A 17439-nucleotide genomic window follows, 5' to 3' on the forward strand; every position below is an offset into this window, starting at 1 on the left:
GCAGGGATCATCCCATGGGGAGGCCAGATATAGGAACAGATGTAGGAGCTGGGATTGGGAGGCTGGACAAGACCAGACTGGGACCACTAGGGAGCCTGGCCATACTCCTTGGCCCCTTTCCAAATCACTGGAGAAGGTAGAAACCTGTCCCAGTGTTCACGTAACCAGTCAGCACAGATAGGAAGATGCTCAAAGCCAGGACTTCTCAGGCCAGGACGCTGCTCAGGAGGGATGTCCTACCACTGAGCCGGAAACTATGAAGACAAACTATTGTGATTTTTTTCCTGGAGTTTTTGCAAACAACACAGCAGCTACATATATATATATATATATATATATATATATATATATATATATATATATATACACACACATACATATATATATATGTAGCTGCTGATATATATGTAGCTGCTGTGTTGTTTGATACAACAAAATTTATGATTGTTTTATGTTCCTTGGGGAAGGATGTACATTTCTTCATTAAATATTGTCCCTCTTTGTTCTGTTAAATGCTTTTGGCCTTGAATTCCACTTTGATAATATTGTTGATACTCCTATATTATTTTTTTGTTTACCTTAATCTACTATAGCTTTGTCTTTGTCCAGTCCTTTATTTAACAATCTTTCTTTGCCTTTTTTTTGTTTCTTATCTTTCTTTTTTTTTAAAAAAAAAAGCAGCACAATACTGGAGTTTATTTTCACTGTGTTATATTTGATACATACACAAAGAAAATATACAATTGATGTAAGTTATTAAGCATAATAAAATGAATACCTATGCCATCGCCAACCATAGGAACTAGAATATTGCCAAAACCATTGAGCCTTCCTGTGTATTCCACTCCATCCCGTCTTCCTATCTCACCCCTGAAGATAATCACTACCTTATGTTGTATATTTATCAATGGGTTGTTTTTATTTATTTATTTCTAATTATTATTATTATTATTATTTTGAGACAGAGTCTCACTCCGTCCCTTAGGCTGGAGTACAGTAAGGCAATTACAGCTCACTGCAGCCTTGAACTCCTGGGCTCACATTATTCTCTCACCTGAGCTTCCCAAGTAGCTGGGACTACAGGTGCACACCCCTGCACTCAGCTAATTTTTTATTTTTACTTTACAATATAGGGAGATGGGGTCTCCCTATATTGCCCAGGCTGGTCTTTAACTATATTTATGTTTACTTTACAATATAGGGAGATGGGGTCCCCCTATATTGCCCAAGCTGGTCTTTAACTTCTGGGCTCCAGTGATCCTCCCACCTCAGCCTCCCAAAGTGCTGGGATTACAGGTGTGAGTCGCTGTGCCCGGCCAGTTGCCCTGCTTTTTAAAAAATAACTTCTAATCCCCTAATTATATATTGTTCAGTTTTGCTTGTTTTTGAGCTTCATATGAGTGATATCAGATATGTGCAGTCTTCTGCTAATTTCTTTTTTCCCTCAAGATTGTTTCTAGCATGCACCCACATTGCTGCATTCACATTGCCACCATTCACTAAGCTATATATTAATGACATTCCATTTGTTTTTGTTGTCATTGTATTTTGTTTTTGTTTTTGAGATGGAGTCTCTCTCTGTCACCCAGACTGGAGTGCAGGGGCGCAATCTCAGCTCATGAGAATTTATTTTTTGGAGAGAGATGAAGGAAGGATCCAATGTCCTATTTTTCCATGTGGATAACAAATGATCCCAGCACCCTAGGTTGAATAGTCTAGCCTTTCCTGGCAATCTGAAATACCAATCCCGTGATATGTCAGGTTTCCATCAGTGTGTTTATTACTGTCACATTGTTCTGTTGATCTATTCCTGTGCCAGTCTCACATAGTCTTAACTACTAATATTTTATAATGTCTCTATTGCACTTAGAACCAGTTCTTCCACCATTTCTTCTTCAGGAGTGTACAGCTACTCTTGAGCTTTTTCTCTTCCGTATAGGTTTTAGAAAGTTTGTAAAGTACCTTGAAAAATTCGATTGGGATTTTGATTGAAATTGTAATCACTCTTTTGATCAATATGGGGATAATTGATAAAATTATGGACAATTTTAGTATTTCCCCCCTTGAAAAGAATAAATCCCAGGTTTATTTAGGTCTTCTTTAGCTTTTTTTTTTTTTTTTTTGAGATGGAGTTTCGCTCTTGTTGCCCAGGCTGGAGTGCAGTGGCGCAACCTAAGCTCACCGCAACCTCCACCTCGTGGCTTCAAGCGATTCTCCTGCCTCAGTCTCTGGAGTAACTGGGATTACAGGCATGCACCACCACACCTGGCTACTTTTGTATTTTTAGTAGAGATGAGGTTTCACCATGTTGGTCAGGCTGTTCTCAAACTCCTGACCTCAAGTGATCCGCATGCCTCGGCCTCCCAAAGTGCTGGGATTACAGGTGTGAGCCACCATACCACGCTGTTTAATTTTTTAACAAAGTTGTATCATTTTCTGTATCAGGTCTTGCACATCTTTTATTAGACTTATTTTTAGATTCCTTTCTGTCTATTGCTATTTTAAATATTGTCTTTTCCTGGATTGTTTACTTTCATAAAGAAGTGTGGAGAAAAGCAATTTAGTTTTGAATATTGGTCTTATATCCTGCCACCTTGATTAACTCTTTCATTAATTCTAATAACTCTCAGTAGATTAGTTTGGATTTTTCTATGTAGATAATCATATAATCTGGAAGTGATGATAGTTTTGTTTCTTTCTAATCATTATACCTTTTCTTTCTTTCTTTTGTTTTAAACACCTTGGCTAGAACTTCCAATAAAATGTCGATTAGGTAGCTATCAATTGGGATCCTTGCCTTGTTCTATTAAGGAGAATGTTTTTTACTTTTTTTTTTTTTCTTTTTTGAGACGGAGTCTTGTTCTGTCACCTAGGCTGGAGTACAGTGGCGCATCTCCGCTCACTGCAATCTCCACCTCCCGGGTTCCTGCCATTCTCCTGCCTCAGCCTCCCGAGTAGCTGGGATTACAGGAGCCCGCCACCACGCCCGGCTAATTTTTTGTATTTTTTTAGTAAAGACGGGATTTCACCGTGTTAGCCAGGATGGTCTCAATCTCCTGACCTCATGATCTGCCCACCTCGGCCTCCCAAAGTGCTGGGATTACAGGCGTGAGCCACCACGCCCGGCCTTTTTTTTACTTTTTACTACTAGGTGTGATTTTGCTAAATTTTGCAACTTAAAAAAAATTCCCTTGTATTCCTAGTGAGATAAAAATTTTAATCATGAAAGGATATTGATTTTTATTAAATGCATTTTTGCACAGATTTTCTCCTTCAACCCACTGTCACTGAATATATTTACACATTTCATGTACATAAAAATAGTATTATATGACATATAACATGATATTCTAATGTGTAATATAATGTTATATATATAAGTAATATATAAGCCATATTTCTGATATTAATATGATGTTAATATATAATATGTATTAATGTTTAACCACCCTCGCATCCACGGTATAAACCCAGTTTGGCCATACATTTTAAAGTGTTTTGTTGTATTCAGTTTTCTACTATTCTTTCATGATCTTTGCACCTAGGTACATGCATAAGGTTGTTCTGGTTTGGGTGATAAGGTTATATTGGTTTCACAAAGCGAGCTGATGAGTGTTCCCTCATTTTTTTCCTCTAGAAGAGTCTATATAAAATTATAATATCTGGCCAGGCGCAGTGGCTCACACTTGTAATCCCAGCATTTTGGGAGGCCGAGGCAGGTGGCTCATGAGGTCAGGAGATCGAGACTACGGTGAAACCCCGTCTCTACTAAAAATACAAAAAATTAGCTGGGCGTGGTGGCGGGCACCTGTAGTCCCAGCTACTCAGGAGGCTGAGGCAGGAGAATGGCGTGAACCCGGGAAGCGGAGCTTACAGTGAGCTGAGATCGTGCCACTGCACTCCAGCCTGGGTGACAGAGCGAGACTCCGTCTCAAAAAAAAAAAAAATTATAATATTATAATATCTAATCCTTGAATGTTTAAAATCATTCGGGCTTCGTGTTTTGTTTTGTTTTGTTTTTTAACCTTTTTGTGTGTGTGTGTGAAACAGAGTTTCATTCTGTCACCCAGGCTGGAGTGCAGAGGGGCGATCTCAGCTCACTGCAACCTCCACCTCCTGAGTTCAAGCGATTTTCCTGCCTCAGCCCCCCGAGTAGCTGGGACCACAGGTCTGCATCACCATGCCTGGCTAAATTTTGTATTTTTAGCAGAGATGGGGTTTCACCATGTTGGCCAGGCTGGTCTGGAGCCCCTGGCCTCAAGTGACCCATCTGCCTCGGCTTCCCAAAATGCTGGGATTACAGGTGTGAGCCACCATGACTGGCCAGTGCTTGGTGTTTTCTATGTAAAAATATTTAAACTACCACCTCAATTATGTTTAATGGTTATGAGACTATCCAGGATTTTTATTTCTTCTTGAGTCTGTTTCAGTAAGTTATGTGTTTCGAATAATTTATCCATTTTGCCTGTTTTTAAAGGTATTAATACATCTTTTTCATAGTTTTTGTTACTCCTTTTACTTTTTAAAAAATTGATGGTGGCCAGGGGCATGTGGTGGTTTACACCTGTAATCCCTGCTCTTCAGGAGCCTAAGCTGAGGGGATCACTTGAGGCCAGGAGTTCGAGACCAGCCTGGGCAAGAGAGGGACAAAAAATTAGTCGGGCATTGTGGTGGGTGCCTGTAATCCCAGCTACCTGGGAGGCTGAGGCAGGAGAATCACTTGAGCCCAGGAGGCAGAGGTTTCAGTGAGCCAAGATCGTGCCACTGCACTCCAGTCTGGGCAACAAAAGCGAAACTCAGTCTCAAAAAAAAAAAAATTTCCATGTGATGTTTTTCATACTTATAAACATATGGGAATTTTTTATTTGTTGTTTTGTCTTTAACTTTTAACTTAGTTGCATTGTGAGTCACAGAAACATGACCTGTATACTAGTTATTATAATTTGTTCAGAATTACATTATGTTATTTTTGTTGTTGTTATTGTTGTTTTAGTAGAGACGGGGTTTTATCATGTTGGCCAGGCTGGTCTCGAACTCCTGACCTCGTGATCTGCTCGCCTCTGCCTCCCAAAATGCTGGGATTACAGATGTGAGCCACAGTGCCTGGCTGAGAATTACATTATGTCCTATGACCACAATATGTAGTCACTTTTTATAAATTCCCTATGTGTTCATGAATACATTTGTATTCTCTAATTGTTGGATTTAGGATTTTATTTGTATCCATTTGTTCAAGTTTGTTAATTATGTAGTTTTAACCTTATATATCTTTCTTAATTTTTACTTTGAAATATCAATAATTAGAGGAAATATGTTGAACTCTTCCATAGTAATTATAGATTTATCAGTTTTGCTCTGTGGTTCTATCCCTTCTAGCTTTGTATATTTTGAGGCTACTTTATTAGTTGAATTGTTATATCTTCCAGGTGCACTAAAACTTCTATCATTATTAGGAACTTTCTTTATCTCTTATAATAATATTGACCTTAATGACTATTTTTTGATGCTAATAAAGCCACTCTTATTTTGATTGGTATTTTTCTGAATACCACTTTGAATATCTTTATTTTCAGCTTTTCAGCGTCCTTGCATTTTAGGAGTGGCTCTTGTAGGCAATCTATACTGAATTTTTAAAATCTTACATCTGATAATCCTCTTTTTTTTTTTTAACTAAGGAGTTCAGTAGCACATCTACATTTCCTAAAAACTAGTGATAAATGTGGACTTGCATTTGCCATCCAACTTTGTGCTTTCTTTTTGATTCACCTATCTTTTTCATAGTTTTTGTTACACCTTTTACTTTTTAAAAAATTGATGGTGGCCAGGGGCGTGTGGTGGTTTACACCTGTAATGCCTGCTCTTTAGGAGCCTAAGCTGGGGGGATTGCTTGAGGCCAGGAGTTCGAGACCAGCCTGGGCAACACAGGGACACCCTGCCTCTACAAAAAAATTTTAAAAATTAGCTGGGTGTGCACCTGTAGTCCTAGCTACTCAGGAGGCTAAGGCAGGAAGATTCCTTAAACACATGAGTTCAAGTTAATAAAGAGCTATGATTGTGTTACTGTACTCCAGCCTGGGTGACAGAAGAAAAAGAGAAAAGAAAAGAAAAGAGAAAAGGAAGGAAGGAAGGAGGAAGGAAGGAAGGAAGGAAGGAAGGAAGGAAGGAAGGAAGGAAAGAAGGAAGGAAGGAAGGAAAGAAGGAAGGAGAGAAAGAGAGAGGCAGAGAGAGGAAGGAAGGAAGGAGGGAGGGAGGGAGGGAAGGAGGGAAGGAAGGAAGGGAGAGAGAGAGAAAAGGAAGGTAAGGGAAGGGAGGAAGGAAGGAGTTAAAATTAATATAAAAAAGGAAAAAAGAATGATGGTTTTCTCTCTTTTATTCCACTTATTTTCCTGTACATACTTGGTAGTTTCATACTCCTTTCCTATTCTTTTAGTAATTACCTGGAAATTTTGCCTTGCACATTTAAAAAAGTCTAAAGTTAATAATTATCTTATCCTCCTGAATAATGCAAGGCGCTTAAAGTGTATTAACTCCAGTCATACCTTCCAACTTGCATACAACTGATAACCAGTATTTGAGTCCTGCCCTTGTTTGTCCACAAAGTAGACATTATTATTACTATTGAAACGATTTTATACAGACAATTTTTACTTAGATTTACCTACATGTTTGCCAACTCTTTTGTCATCATTTCTTCTTGTATGTTAGAATTACTTTTGGGGATCATTTTCCTTTCATTTCCTTTAGTAAAAGTCTAACAGTGGTAAATTCCCTCAGTTTTGGTTCATATGACGATAACATTATTTTGTTCTCATTCTTTAAAGATAGTTACATTGGTTGGGCGTGGTTGTTCACACCTAGCACTTTGGGAGGCCAAGGCAGGAGGATCACTTGAACCCAGGGGGTGGAGACCAGCCTGGGCAACATGGCAAAACCCCATCTCTACAGAAAATTTAAAAATTAGCCAGCCATGGTGGCGTGCACCTGTAGTCCCAGCTACTAGGGAGGCTGAAGAGGGAGGATCACCTGAGCCTGGGAGGCAGAGGTTGCAGTGAGCCAAGATCACTCCACTGCACTCCAGCCTGGGTGACAAAGTGGGATTCTGTTTCAAAAAAAAAAAAATGATAGTTATATTGAGTGTACAAGTTTAGTATAGGAAAAAGAAAGAGAGATCAGACTGTTACTGTGTCTATGTAGAAAGGAAAGACATAAGAGACTCCATTTTGCAAAAGACCTGTACTTTAAACAATTGCTTTGCTGATATGTTGCTAATTTGAAGCTTTGCCCCAGCCACTTTGACCCAACCTAGAGCTCACAGAAACATGTGTTGTATGAAATCAAGGTTTAAGGGATCTAGAGCTGTGCAGGATGTGCCTTGTTAACAAAATGTTTACAAGCAGTATACTTGGTAAAAGTCATTGCCATTCTCTAGTCTCAGTAAACCGGGGGCACAATGCACTGCAGAAAGCCGCAGGGACCTCTGCCCTTGAAAGCGGGGTATTGTCCAAGGTTTCTCCCCATGTGATAGTCTGAAATATGGCCTCGTGGGATGAGAAAGACCTGACCGTCCCCCAGCCCGACTCCCATAAAGGGTCTGTGCTGAGGTGGATTAGTAAATGAGGAAAGCCTCTTGCAGTTGAGCTAGAGGAAGGCCACTGTCTCCTGCCTGCCCCTGGGAACTGAATGTCTCGGTATAACACCCGATCGTACATTTGTTCAATTCTGAGAGGAGAGAAAAACCGCCCTATGGTGGGAGGCGAGACATGTTGGCAGCAATGCTGCCTTGTTATTCTTTACTCCACTGAGATGTTTGGGTGGAGAGAAACATAAATCTGGCTTACGTGCACGTCCAGTCATAGTACCTTCCCTTGAACTTCATTATGACGTAGATTCTTTTGCTCACATGTTTGTTGCTGACCTTCTCCTTATTATCACCCTGTCCTCCTACTACATTCCTTTTTGCTGAAATAATGAAGATAATAATCAATAAAAACTGAGGGAACTCAGAGACCGGTGCCGGTGCTGGTCCTTGGTATGCTGAGCGCCGGTCCCCCGGGCCCACTGTTGTTTCTCTATACTTTGTCTCTGCGTCTTATTTCTTTTCTCAGTCTCTCGTCCCACCTGACTAGAAATACCCACAGGTGTGGAGGGGCAGGCCACCCCTTCAGTTTAGGATGATAATTACTTTGTCTTAGGACTCCAAAGATATTTTTCCATTTCTTAGGGATTTCCATGGTGGCTGTTGATAAGCCACTAGTATTTTATTTATTTATTTATTTATTTATTTATTTATTTATTTATTTTTGAGTCAGAGTCTCATTCTGTCACCCAGGCGGGAGTGCAGTGGCACAATCTCTGCTTACTGCAACCTCTGCCTCCGGGGTTCAAGCAATTCTCCTGCCTCAGCCTCCTGAGTAACTGGGATCACAGGCACGCACCACCACACCCAGCTAATTTGTTTGTATTTTTAGTACAGATGGGGTTTCACCATGTTGGCTAGGCTGGTCTTGAACTCTTGACCTCACATGGTCCACCTGCCTTGGCCTCAGTTACTAGTATTTTAAATGTCATTCTTTTGCAGCCAACTTGTTTCTTTTCTCTGATAGATTCTGAGGTCTTCTCTTACCTTTTGGTCTTCTGCAAGTTTATTACAATATGCCTAGGTGTGAATTCATGTTTCTTATAAGTTCTGAAAAGTTCTCAGCCATTATCTCTTTGAATGTTACCTCACCTTTGCTGTCTCTATTCTTTCCTGTGGGTCTTAGTTAAATAGTAGACCTTCTCATCTTTCCCTCCCCTCTCTCCTAAACATCTTTCATATTTTACCTCTCCTTTTTCTGTGTTGAAAATTATGCAGAAATAGGTACTTTTGTGGATCCATTTTCTATTCGGTTGGTGCAAAATTAATTGTGGTATTGGCCATTACTTTTAATGGCTAAAATCACAATTACTTTTGCACCAACCTAATAATTCATAATTATCTCTTCAGCTGCATCTGATCTGCTATTTAATCATCTGATGAGATTTTTGTATCATCAGTTATAACTTTCATTTATGCAAGTTCTATTTTGGTTTATTTTCCAATCTTCCTGGACATTTTTGATAGGTTTGTATTCTGCATTCAGTGTGTGTGTGTGTGTGTGTGTGTGTGTGTGTGTGAATTCATCTTGCATTTCTTTAAATATTTTCTACATAATTATGTTATTTTCTGTATTTGGTCATTCCAACAGCTGAAGTATTAAAGGGGTATGTCTACGCCTATTGTTTTATTTGCTGACTCTCACTCATAGCGGCTTGTTTCCGTGTAGTTTGGTGACCACTGATTGTGAGTTCATATTTTGTTGAACTTAATCTGTGGGAATCCTGAGGGCCTACACTGGACCTACATTCCTACTGAGGCATTTGCATTTGCTTCTGCCAGGAGCCAAGGGGCTGCTATTAACCTGGGAGGACTTCAGCCACCTTTAAATGACTCTGGCACAAGGCAGGAGTCTCAGGTGCTCTCACCTTGCCTCTGCCCTAGACTTAATTTGCCTATCGCAGTGCTTATTTCATCATTTAGCTCGATTTTCTTGTTTCCCTGTTAGTCAACGCTCCATGCTTTAGCTTCAGTTCCCCACTGTCTTGCCACGCTTTTCTTGGCAGAGGACACTTAGTCCTTACAGATTTCCATTACTCTCTAGGAAGTCCAGCAATGCATTAAAATGATGGTTTTTTATTTGTTTTGTTTTTGTAATTCTTGTTTTTGTTGTTTTTGTTTTGAGCGGAGTTTCGCTATTGTTGCCCAGGCTAGAGTGCAGTGGCGCAATCTCAGCTCACTGCAACCTCCACTTCTGGGGTTCAAATGATTCTCCTGTCTCAGCCTCCCGACTAGCTGGGATTACAGGCATCTGCCACCACACCCAGATAATTTTTGTGTTTTTTTGTTTTGTTTTGTTTTTGTTTTTTTTTTTTTTAGTAGAGACAGAGTTTCACCATGTTGGCCAGGCTGGTCTTGAACTCCTGACCTCAGATGATTCGCCCGCCTCAGCCTCCCAAAGTGCTGCGGTTATAGACGTGAGCTACCGCACCCGGCCTTGTTTTCGTAACTCATGCAGAATCCAGTTATATTTTCATGGGGTGACCTTTGAGAGCCCTAGTCCACCATCTTGCCAAAAGCAGAAATTCCATGGTGCTACTGGGATCCCCATTTTACAGATCGAAAACCGAGACTCATAAAATCAAATATGTTGCTGGAGACCACACAACACTCAGGCTGAGTGTTTAACCAGAGGCTGATGCTCCCCAAATAAGAGGAAATGTATTTTCAGGGTTGCAGCCTTGGCCAACGCTCTGGGATAAAACCACAAACTTCTGCTAAGGAAGGAATGAGGAGACCCAACCCAGCCCAGAGTGGGCAGGCCCCAGGCACCCAGCACCAGCTCAGCCAGTCTGCACGGGGCACTCCGCCTGCACCTCCTCCCACCCTGGGAAAGAGCCAGCAGCGCTTCCGGCACTTGGGTTTCCATGGCAACCAGTCACCCTGTGTGATGAGACGCAAAAGCCACAGGCAGTGAGTGGAACATTCCTGAATCTGAAGCCCTCATTACAGGTGGGTCTCCTGCAGCCTTGGGGACAGTGTGAGGGAGGCTCAGAGGAGAAAGAATTTGTGTGAAGGGGTCATGTTCAAACTAGCCACAATACCACTTGATAGCCCCTTTCTTTTTGCCTATACCCCGGTTATGATGGCCCCAGAGTCCCAGGTCCAGGAAAGTCCAGAAACAGGCTGGAGTCGGCCTGCTGCTAGGTCCCACACAATACCAGCTCTGCCTTTTTCATTCAACAACAGTCCCTTCATGCCTCCTCTGGCCAGGTCCTCAGGATCCTCTGACAGATGAGGGTCCCTGCCTGCGGTGAGCTATCTGGCTAGTGCAAGACTCAGACAGGCCCTAAAAGCCAATTACAACCAGGGGACAAGGGAGCACAGAGGCCATGAGAGCACAGAAGAGCGAGTGCTCCCTGCAAGGAGGCTTCCCAAAGCAAAGATATTTGAGCCAAGCCGCAAAAAAATTAGTATGGTAGAAAAGGGAGGGAAGAGCCAGGCATGGTGGCTCATGCCTGTAATCCCAGTACTTTGGGAGTCCAAGGCGGGTGAATCACAAGGTCAGGGGTTCAAGATCAGCCTGGCCAACATATAATGACATCTCATTTCTACTAAAAATGCAAAAATTAGCTGGGCGTAGTGGCGGGCACCTGTAATCCCAGCTACTCGGGAGGCTGAGGCAGGAGAATTGCTTGAACCTGGGAGGTGGAGGTTGCAGTGAGCTGGAGGTTGCAGTGAGCTGAGATTGCGCCACTGCTCTCCGTCCTGGGTGACAGAGTGAGACTCTGTCATAAAAAAAAAAAAAAGAAAAGAAAAGAAAGAAAGAAAAGAAAAGGGAGGGGAGGGCATTACAGGCAGAAGGAAGCACAATGCGGTGGGCTCAGAGGAACGAAACAGCAGTGACTTTAGTAAAACAAGGGAACGGAAGCAGAAAAGGTGACCACAGAGAGGAGCCACAACAGAGCTTGCAGGACACTGCTGTGAACTTGGGCCTTATCCCGGAAGGAGTGGGCAGCCTTAAATGGTTTTAGGAGAGTGTTGTCTTCATGGCATTGAGGATGGATAGGAGCCAGGGAACCCGGCAAAAGGCCCCTTACAATAATGCAGAAGAGAGATCACAGTAACCAACATAAAGGGTGTAGCTACGGGGATATGCAAGGAAGGGGCAGATTTGGCTGGGTGCCATGGCTCACACCTGTAATTGCAGCACTTTGGGAGGCCGAAGCGAGTAGATTGCTTGAGGCCAGGAGTTTGAGACCAGCCTGGCCAACATGGTGAAATCCCATCTCTACTAAAAATACAAAACAAATTAGCCGGGCGTGGTGGCACACGCCTGTGATCCCAGCTACTCAGGAGGCTGAGACATGAGAATCATAGGAACCCAGGAGGCGGAGCCAAGATCGGGCGATTGAACTCCAGCCAGGGCAACACAGCCAGACCCCGTCTCAAAAAAAAAAGGGGGGCGACAGACTGGAGAAATGTTTAGGACAGAGCAGCTGGACTTGGTGAGATATTGGGGCAAAAAGGATGGTAGCGTCAACCTGAGAGGGGGCACAGGAGCAGGGAGGGACTAGGGTAGGGGTGGCCATTCAGGCCCCTGCTGGGTCATGTGAAAGTGACCAGTTTTCCTCATACAGATGCTGGGGCTGACCTCCCTGGAGTGTGATATCCAGGACCTTTTCTCTCCAGGTCAATAGAGAAAAAGAATGTTCCAGAGCCTTCTTCAGCCTGGAAGCTTCTGGCAGGTTCCAGTCACTCTGTGGGCAGTACCAGCTGCAATCTTGCCACCAGGCCCCACCCACTCTGCACTGCACCACCCCTGGCATCCCACAGCCTCTGCAGGGGGCACCCCAGGCACCTCCAGGCCACTGGCCCCTGCATCTTCCGGACCAGTAGAACCAAATTTCTGTTCCGTGTACTTCTGTTCCGTGTCCCGTTTCCTTGTTCTGGTTACATGCATGTCACAAAGTTATATCTGTGGCAGCTAGCTGTGTAGCCTGGGGCTGAATTAATAAGGAGTACATTGTAGAATCAAGTTAATGACTGCAACTCTAAGACAGGTGGCTTGGGAGTCAGACAGAACCAAGTTCAAATCCTGACTTATTCGCTCTGTGTCTTTAGGCAGTGACTCCTCAGACCCTCCGTGCCCTCTGCTCACCCTTCCTCCTGTCTCACCCCTCTGCGGTTCACAGCCCCTCTTCCCTCAGGCCCCTCTTGTTCACACTTATCTCCTGTTCATGTGCCCCTCTCCTCCTTCGACCCCACTCCCAGGCCACACGCCTCTCACGCCCACACCTAGGGCAGGTTCCCCACTGTCTCCAGATTGATACTGGTCAGTTACCTCAGGGTTCTGAAGGAAGAGCGCTGAGACCCAGAGGCCACCCCATGCCCCTCCCTTTACCTCCAGCCCCCAACCTGGTCTCCAGGCAGGTGCCAGCCCGGGCCGGCCTCGGGGACCTGGCTGGCCTGCCTGGCTCGACTGGAGTATTCCGCCCTGACTCAGGTCTTGGGAACACCGCTCTGCCCCCAGGGGAAGTTGGGGGTGGCGGTGGCAACTGGGCTTCCAGGCTGGCCCGGATTTCTGCTCCTCTGACTCCCTCCCCCAGCAGTCCCCTCCCACCGCCCACCCCGCTGCGCTCCCCGGGAGCAGGGGAGAGGCGTGGCCCGAGACGAGGCCCAGAAAGGGGGCGGGGCCGGACGGAGACGTTCCGAGGCCAGCCCCGCCCCCTGGGCCCCGACAGCCCAGACCCCCTCCGGGAAGGCCCCGGGAACCAGAGTAGGGCACAGGCCGGGCGCCCCTCGGAGTTCGGACGCCCCGGGCCTGACCCGCACCCGGCCTGGTGGGGCCACCCCTCGGCCGGGGAGGCTCCCAGAGCCAGCACCCGCTTCCTCCCCAGGGCGGGGCCCGGCGGCCATGGGCCAAGCGCCGTAAAATTTAAAGAGGTGAGAGAGACACTTCGCAGAAACCTCAGCGGCGCGGGGAAATGAAATAAGGCCTCCCCCCGGGGCGCCCGCCCCCGCCCGCGCTGCCCAGGCCCCAGGTCACCCTGGAGGGTCCAGGTGCGGGCCCCGCGCACAGCAGCCTCTCCCCGGGCGGGCGAGGGCTCTCTCCCTTTCCAGCGCTGCCCCAGGCACTCGGGGATCGGGACCCAGCCAACGGCCCCAGTCCCAGGCGGGGGCCGAGCTGGCCCGAGAAGCTCTCCCCCTCCAGGGCAGAGAGCGTCCCCTCCCCCACGTGGAAAAGCAAACCCAGACCCCCCTGCCCCACTAAAAACTTGTCCCTCTCCTTTCTCGGTGTCCATGGTGGGTCTGGTTCCCACCGCTCCCTCCCTCCCCGCACAGTCTGAGACCCCCTTCCCCGGGCCGCCCCGTCGATCCCAGGTGATGGATGGAGCCTTCAGGGAGCCCGCGCGGGCGGGCTAGGCTCGGGCGGAAATGAAGAGGATAAGATCTGCGAGCAGAGCCGCCTGACACCGTGATATCCGCCTGGCTCGCTGCGCTCCGGGTGATGGATGGGGCGGAGCTCCCCACCCCCCAGCCCCGGAACCTGGCGCCCCTCCCAGAAACACCGCTCCGCTGCCACACACGCGGCCGCCGGACTCCCAGCCACCGGCGCACTCACGCGGCGCCCCCCACGCATCAGCCCGGCGCGCACGAAGGGAACCGTTCCTCTTCCCAGTCCCCTGGCGCTAGCACCAGCAGGACTGCCCTTAGCGCACACCACACCTTACCCACTTGCCCATCACACAGCCTCTTCCGCGCACGCACATACACATGCATGCAAGCTGCACGCCACCCCTCCCGCCCCCCAAACATGTGTTCTTTCCTGAGTCTTGGAGCCACTCAGGAAGAGGGTTTGACTACCGTGAAACTCAGCCCTGGGCGGGGGTCTTGGGACAGGGAACAGAACAGCAATTGCTAATTGTGCTTAGCATCTTGTTCGGCCACTGAGCAGGTCGGGCTTGGCATGGACCACGGCAGCTGAGGCGCCAGGACTGTCCGAGCAGGCCTCACCATCAGTGTTACCATGGTTACCATCTTCCTAGCATTATCACTCAGCGACATCATCGTTACCATGGTTACAGGCACCGCATCTCCCTCTTCCGCGTTGCTGCCATTTGATTCCCATCACCATTACCATTCATTCATTCACTCATTCGTGTATCACTCATCCCCTCTATTCATCAGCTGGGGATAGAGAGATAAGTCAGTCGGTCCCCACCTTTGAGAGCGCACAGCTGAAATAGGGGAGGCAGAGGTAAGCAGCCAAGAGCCTGGTGCATTCTGTAGAGCCCTGAGGAACAATGAGGCCTTGCCACATAGATGGCACCAGGCAGGAAGGACCACAGTAAGAAGAAAGGCATGCAGCTGTCAACAGCATCATCGCCACCACGGGGTGCTCCATGTGCTTGGAGGAGAGTACACTCTCCGGGGCAGGCAAGCAGGGCAGTCATGGGCAGGCAGTAAGGAGAGGAAACCGGTTTGGGCCACACCATGAAGGTTTAATGACCCAAGGTTCCTGTGGCACAGTGATTAAGAGCCAGTCTTAGGGAGTCTGAATGAAGGACCTGGACTTGAATCCTGACTTTGCCACCCCCTGGCTTAGGGACGTTGGGCCCGTCATTTCTGCAGTGTCTGGCACTTTGGAAGTGCTCTGGAAGTCATTGTTTTCATTACTATTCTTTTTCCTAGAGGCCACGCTTTTGGCCTCTAGGAAAGCTCAGGTTCCTCTCTTCCCTAACCTACAGCTAAGCCACACCTCTGAGGAGCCAACGTAGGTGGTTAAGGCCAAGGTTATTACTGGAGGGTGAAGTCTGGGAGCGGAGCTTTCCTAGAACCAGTCCACCTGTGTGTGCCCTCTCCTTTGTTTCCGTGTGGCTGCAGGCTGGAGGACCAGGGATTGTCTGTCATAAGGAAGGAGTTCCTACCCCTGCACATGCTAGGCAGGTAAAGGCTTGTTCCCGCTTACCTGAGCCAGGGATTCAACACCATGATTGGAACCCAGGGCCTTAGGTGATTGTTCTTTATCCAGGGTTTCCATCAGAACCACTGCTGGATTTTTTTTTTTTTAAATATGGGTGCCTGGCGGCCTGGAAAACATAGTGAGACATTGTCTCTACTGAAAATAAAATAAAATAAATTAGCAGGACGTGGTGGTACACACCTGTAGTCCCAGCTACTTGGAAGGCTGAGGCAGGAGGATCTCTTGAGCCATAAGGTCGAGGCTGCAGTGAGCTGTGATTGTGCCACTGCACTACAGCCTGGGTGATAGAGCAAGACCCCTTCTCAAGAAAAAAAAAAAAAGAAAAAAGATTTGTGCCTTATTATATCTATCTGATTGTGCCTTCCTTGTCTCTTTTTACTACCTTCTTCACACCTACTGACTCAGAAGTGACTACGGTTTTTTGTTTTTGTTTTCTTTTTGTTTTTTTGAGATGGAGTTTTGCTCTTGTTGCCCAGGCTGGAGTGCAATGGCTCGATCTCAGCTCACTGCAACCTCTGCCTCCTGGGTTCAAGCGTCTCCTGCCTCAGCCTTTCCTGAGTAGCTGGGATTACAGGCATACACCACGACACCCAGCTAATTTTGTATTTTTAGTAGAGATGGGGTTTCTCCATGTTGGTCAAGCTGGTCTCAAACTCCCGACCTCAGGTGATCCTCCCGCCTCAGCCTCCCAAAGTGCTGGAATTACAGGCATGAGCCACCAAGCTCGGCCAACTACTGTTTTTAGCTGGTGTTTATTCTGCCTGTTCTCATGTTTACACTTTTACTATAAAGGTACCTGTAAAAATGTAGCATTATTTTGTGTATTTACATAAGTTGTTATAAACTATCATGTACATATTTACCTGAACAGAATCATTCCCAACTTTTCACTAAACATTATTTTCTAGGATTTGTCCACATTGATATATGTAGCTTTTGTTCATTCCTTTTATCTGATGATAAGTAGCCCGTTGTACAAAACGACTGAAATTTCTTTATTTACCCCACTGTTTGTAGACATACAGATTGTTTTCTGGTTTTGTTGCAATTACAAATGATCATCCTCATGCATGTCTGTTTGTGTATTACAGCAAAATGGCTCTGGCGCATACACTAAGGAGTGGAATTGCTTGGTGCCAGGGTGTGTATATTGTCAAATTGTATTTCCAAATTGCTCTCCAAAGTTGTTGCCCTAATTTACCCTGCCACCAGCAGTGCGCAAATCTTCATTTCTCCACATCCTTACTAATACTTGCTACTGCCAGACTTTTAAATTTTTGCCCATTTGAAGGATGTGATATGATATCTTGTTAATCTTTTAACTGTGGGGGTCTTCACCCAATTATGAATGAAGTAGTTGAGCATCTTTTCATTTGTTATGGGAAATTCCCATTTTCTCCTTTGCGTATTTGCTGTTCGCACCCTTTGTCTATTTTTCTGCTGGTTGTTTGTCTTTACCTTATTGGACTGAAGAAGTTGTTTACATAAACTGAATATAAATCCTTTACATTTTTTATTGTGAAAATATTTTCTCCGACTTTGTGGTTTTAAAATACTTTTGAAGAGTGTTATTTCAAATTTTATTTCATTTTTAGATGATAAAAAATAGCCGTATATATTATATATTTATGGGGTACAATGTGATGTTTTGATATATGTTTAAATTGTGGAATGATCAAAGCAAGCTAATTAACAAATCCATCACTGCACATTCTTAGTTTTTCATGGTCAAAACATATAAAATCAACTCAGTAATTTTGATAAATTTTTTTCTGTACTTCAATGGATGTAAAAACTTTTTTAAATTTAGGATGCCTTTATATATAATGGTTTTGGCACAAGGATAGGCAAATAAAACAATAGAACAGAATGAAGA

At 45.3% G+C, this 17439-nt stretch overlaps 1 long non-coding RNA gene across 2 annotated transcripts, besides 4 other annotated features; it reads left to right on the forward strand.

The window, feature by feature from the left end:
• Positions 1-7999: 7999 nt before the first annotated feature.
• Positions 8000-16052, forward strand: LOC107987129 (uncharacterized). Of its 2 annotated transcripts, none has more exons than XR_001746936.3 (3): positions 8000-8029; positions 10308-10588; positions 12269-16052. It is a non-coding gene; the product is annotated as an uncharacterized LOC107987129 (long non-coding RNA). The 2 variants fall into 2 exon arrangements; XR_001746935.3 differs by lacking the exon at positions 8000-8029 and adding an exon at positions 8470-9103.
• Positions 10445-10944: an enhancer, noted in NCBI's record as "H3K4me1 hESC enhancer chr9:129482087-129482586 (GRCh37/hg19 assembly coordinates)". NCBI's record gives its function as "activates a minimal SCP1, AML or CMV promoter by ChIP-STARR-seq in naive H9 embryonic stem cells {active_cell/tissue: H9 hESC(naive)}" and the evidence as "EXISTENCE:reporter gene assay evidence [ECO:0000049][PMID:30033119]".
• Positions 12685-12744: an enhancer, noted in NCBI's record as "active region_29018". NCBI's record gives its function as "activates an Ori minimal core promoter by ATAC-STARR-seq in GM12878 lymphoblastoid cells {active_cell/tissue: GM12878}" and the evidence as "EXISTENCE:reporter gene assay evidence [ECO:0000049][PMID:35858748]".
• Positions 12985-13594: a silencer, noted in NCBI's record as "silent region_20290". NCBI's record gives its function as "represses an Ori minimal core promoter by ATAC-STARR-seq in GM12878 lymphoblastoid cells {active_cell/tissue: GM12878}" and the evidence as "EXISTENCE:reporter gene assay evidence [ECO:0000049][PMID:35858748]".
• Positions 13655-13734: a silencer, noted in NCBI's record as "silent region_20291". NCBI's record gives its function as "represses an Ori minimal core promoter by ATAC-STARR-seq in GM12878 lymphoblastoid cells {active_cell/tissue: GM12878}" and the evidence as "EXISTENCE:reporter gene assay evidence [ECO:0000049][PMID:35858748]".
• Positions 16053-17439: the final 1387 nt, after the last annotated feature.

This window comes from Homo sapiens, chromosome 9 (genome assembly GCF_000001405.40).
Source record: "Homo sapiens chromosome 9, GRCh38.p14 Primary Assembly".
Classification (NCBI taxonomy): domain Eukaryota; kingdom Metazoa; phylum Chordata; class Mammalia; order Primates; family Hominidae; genus Homo; species Homo sapiens.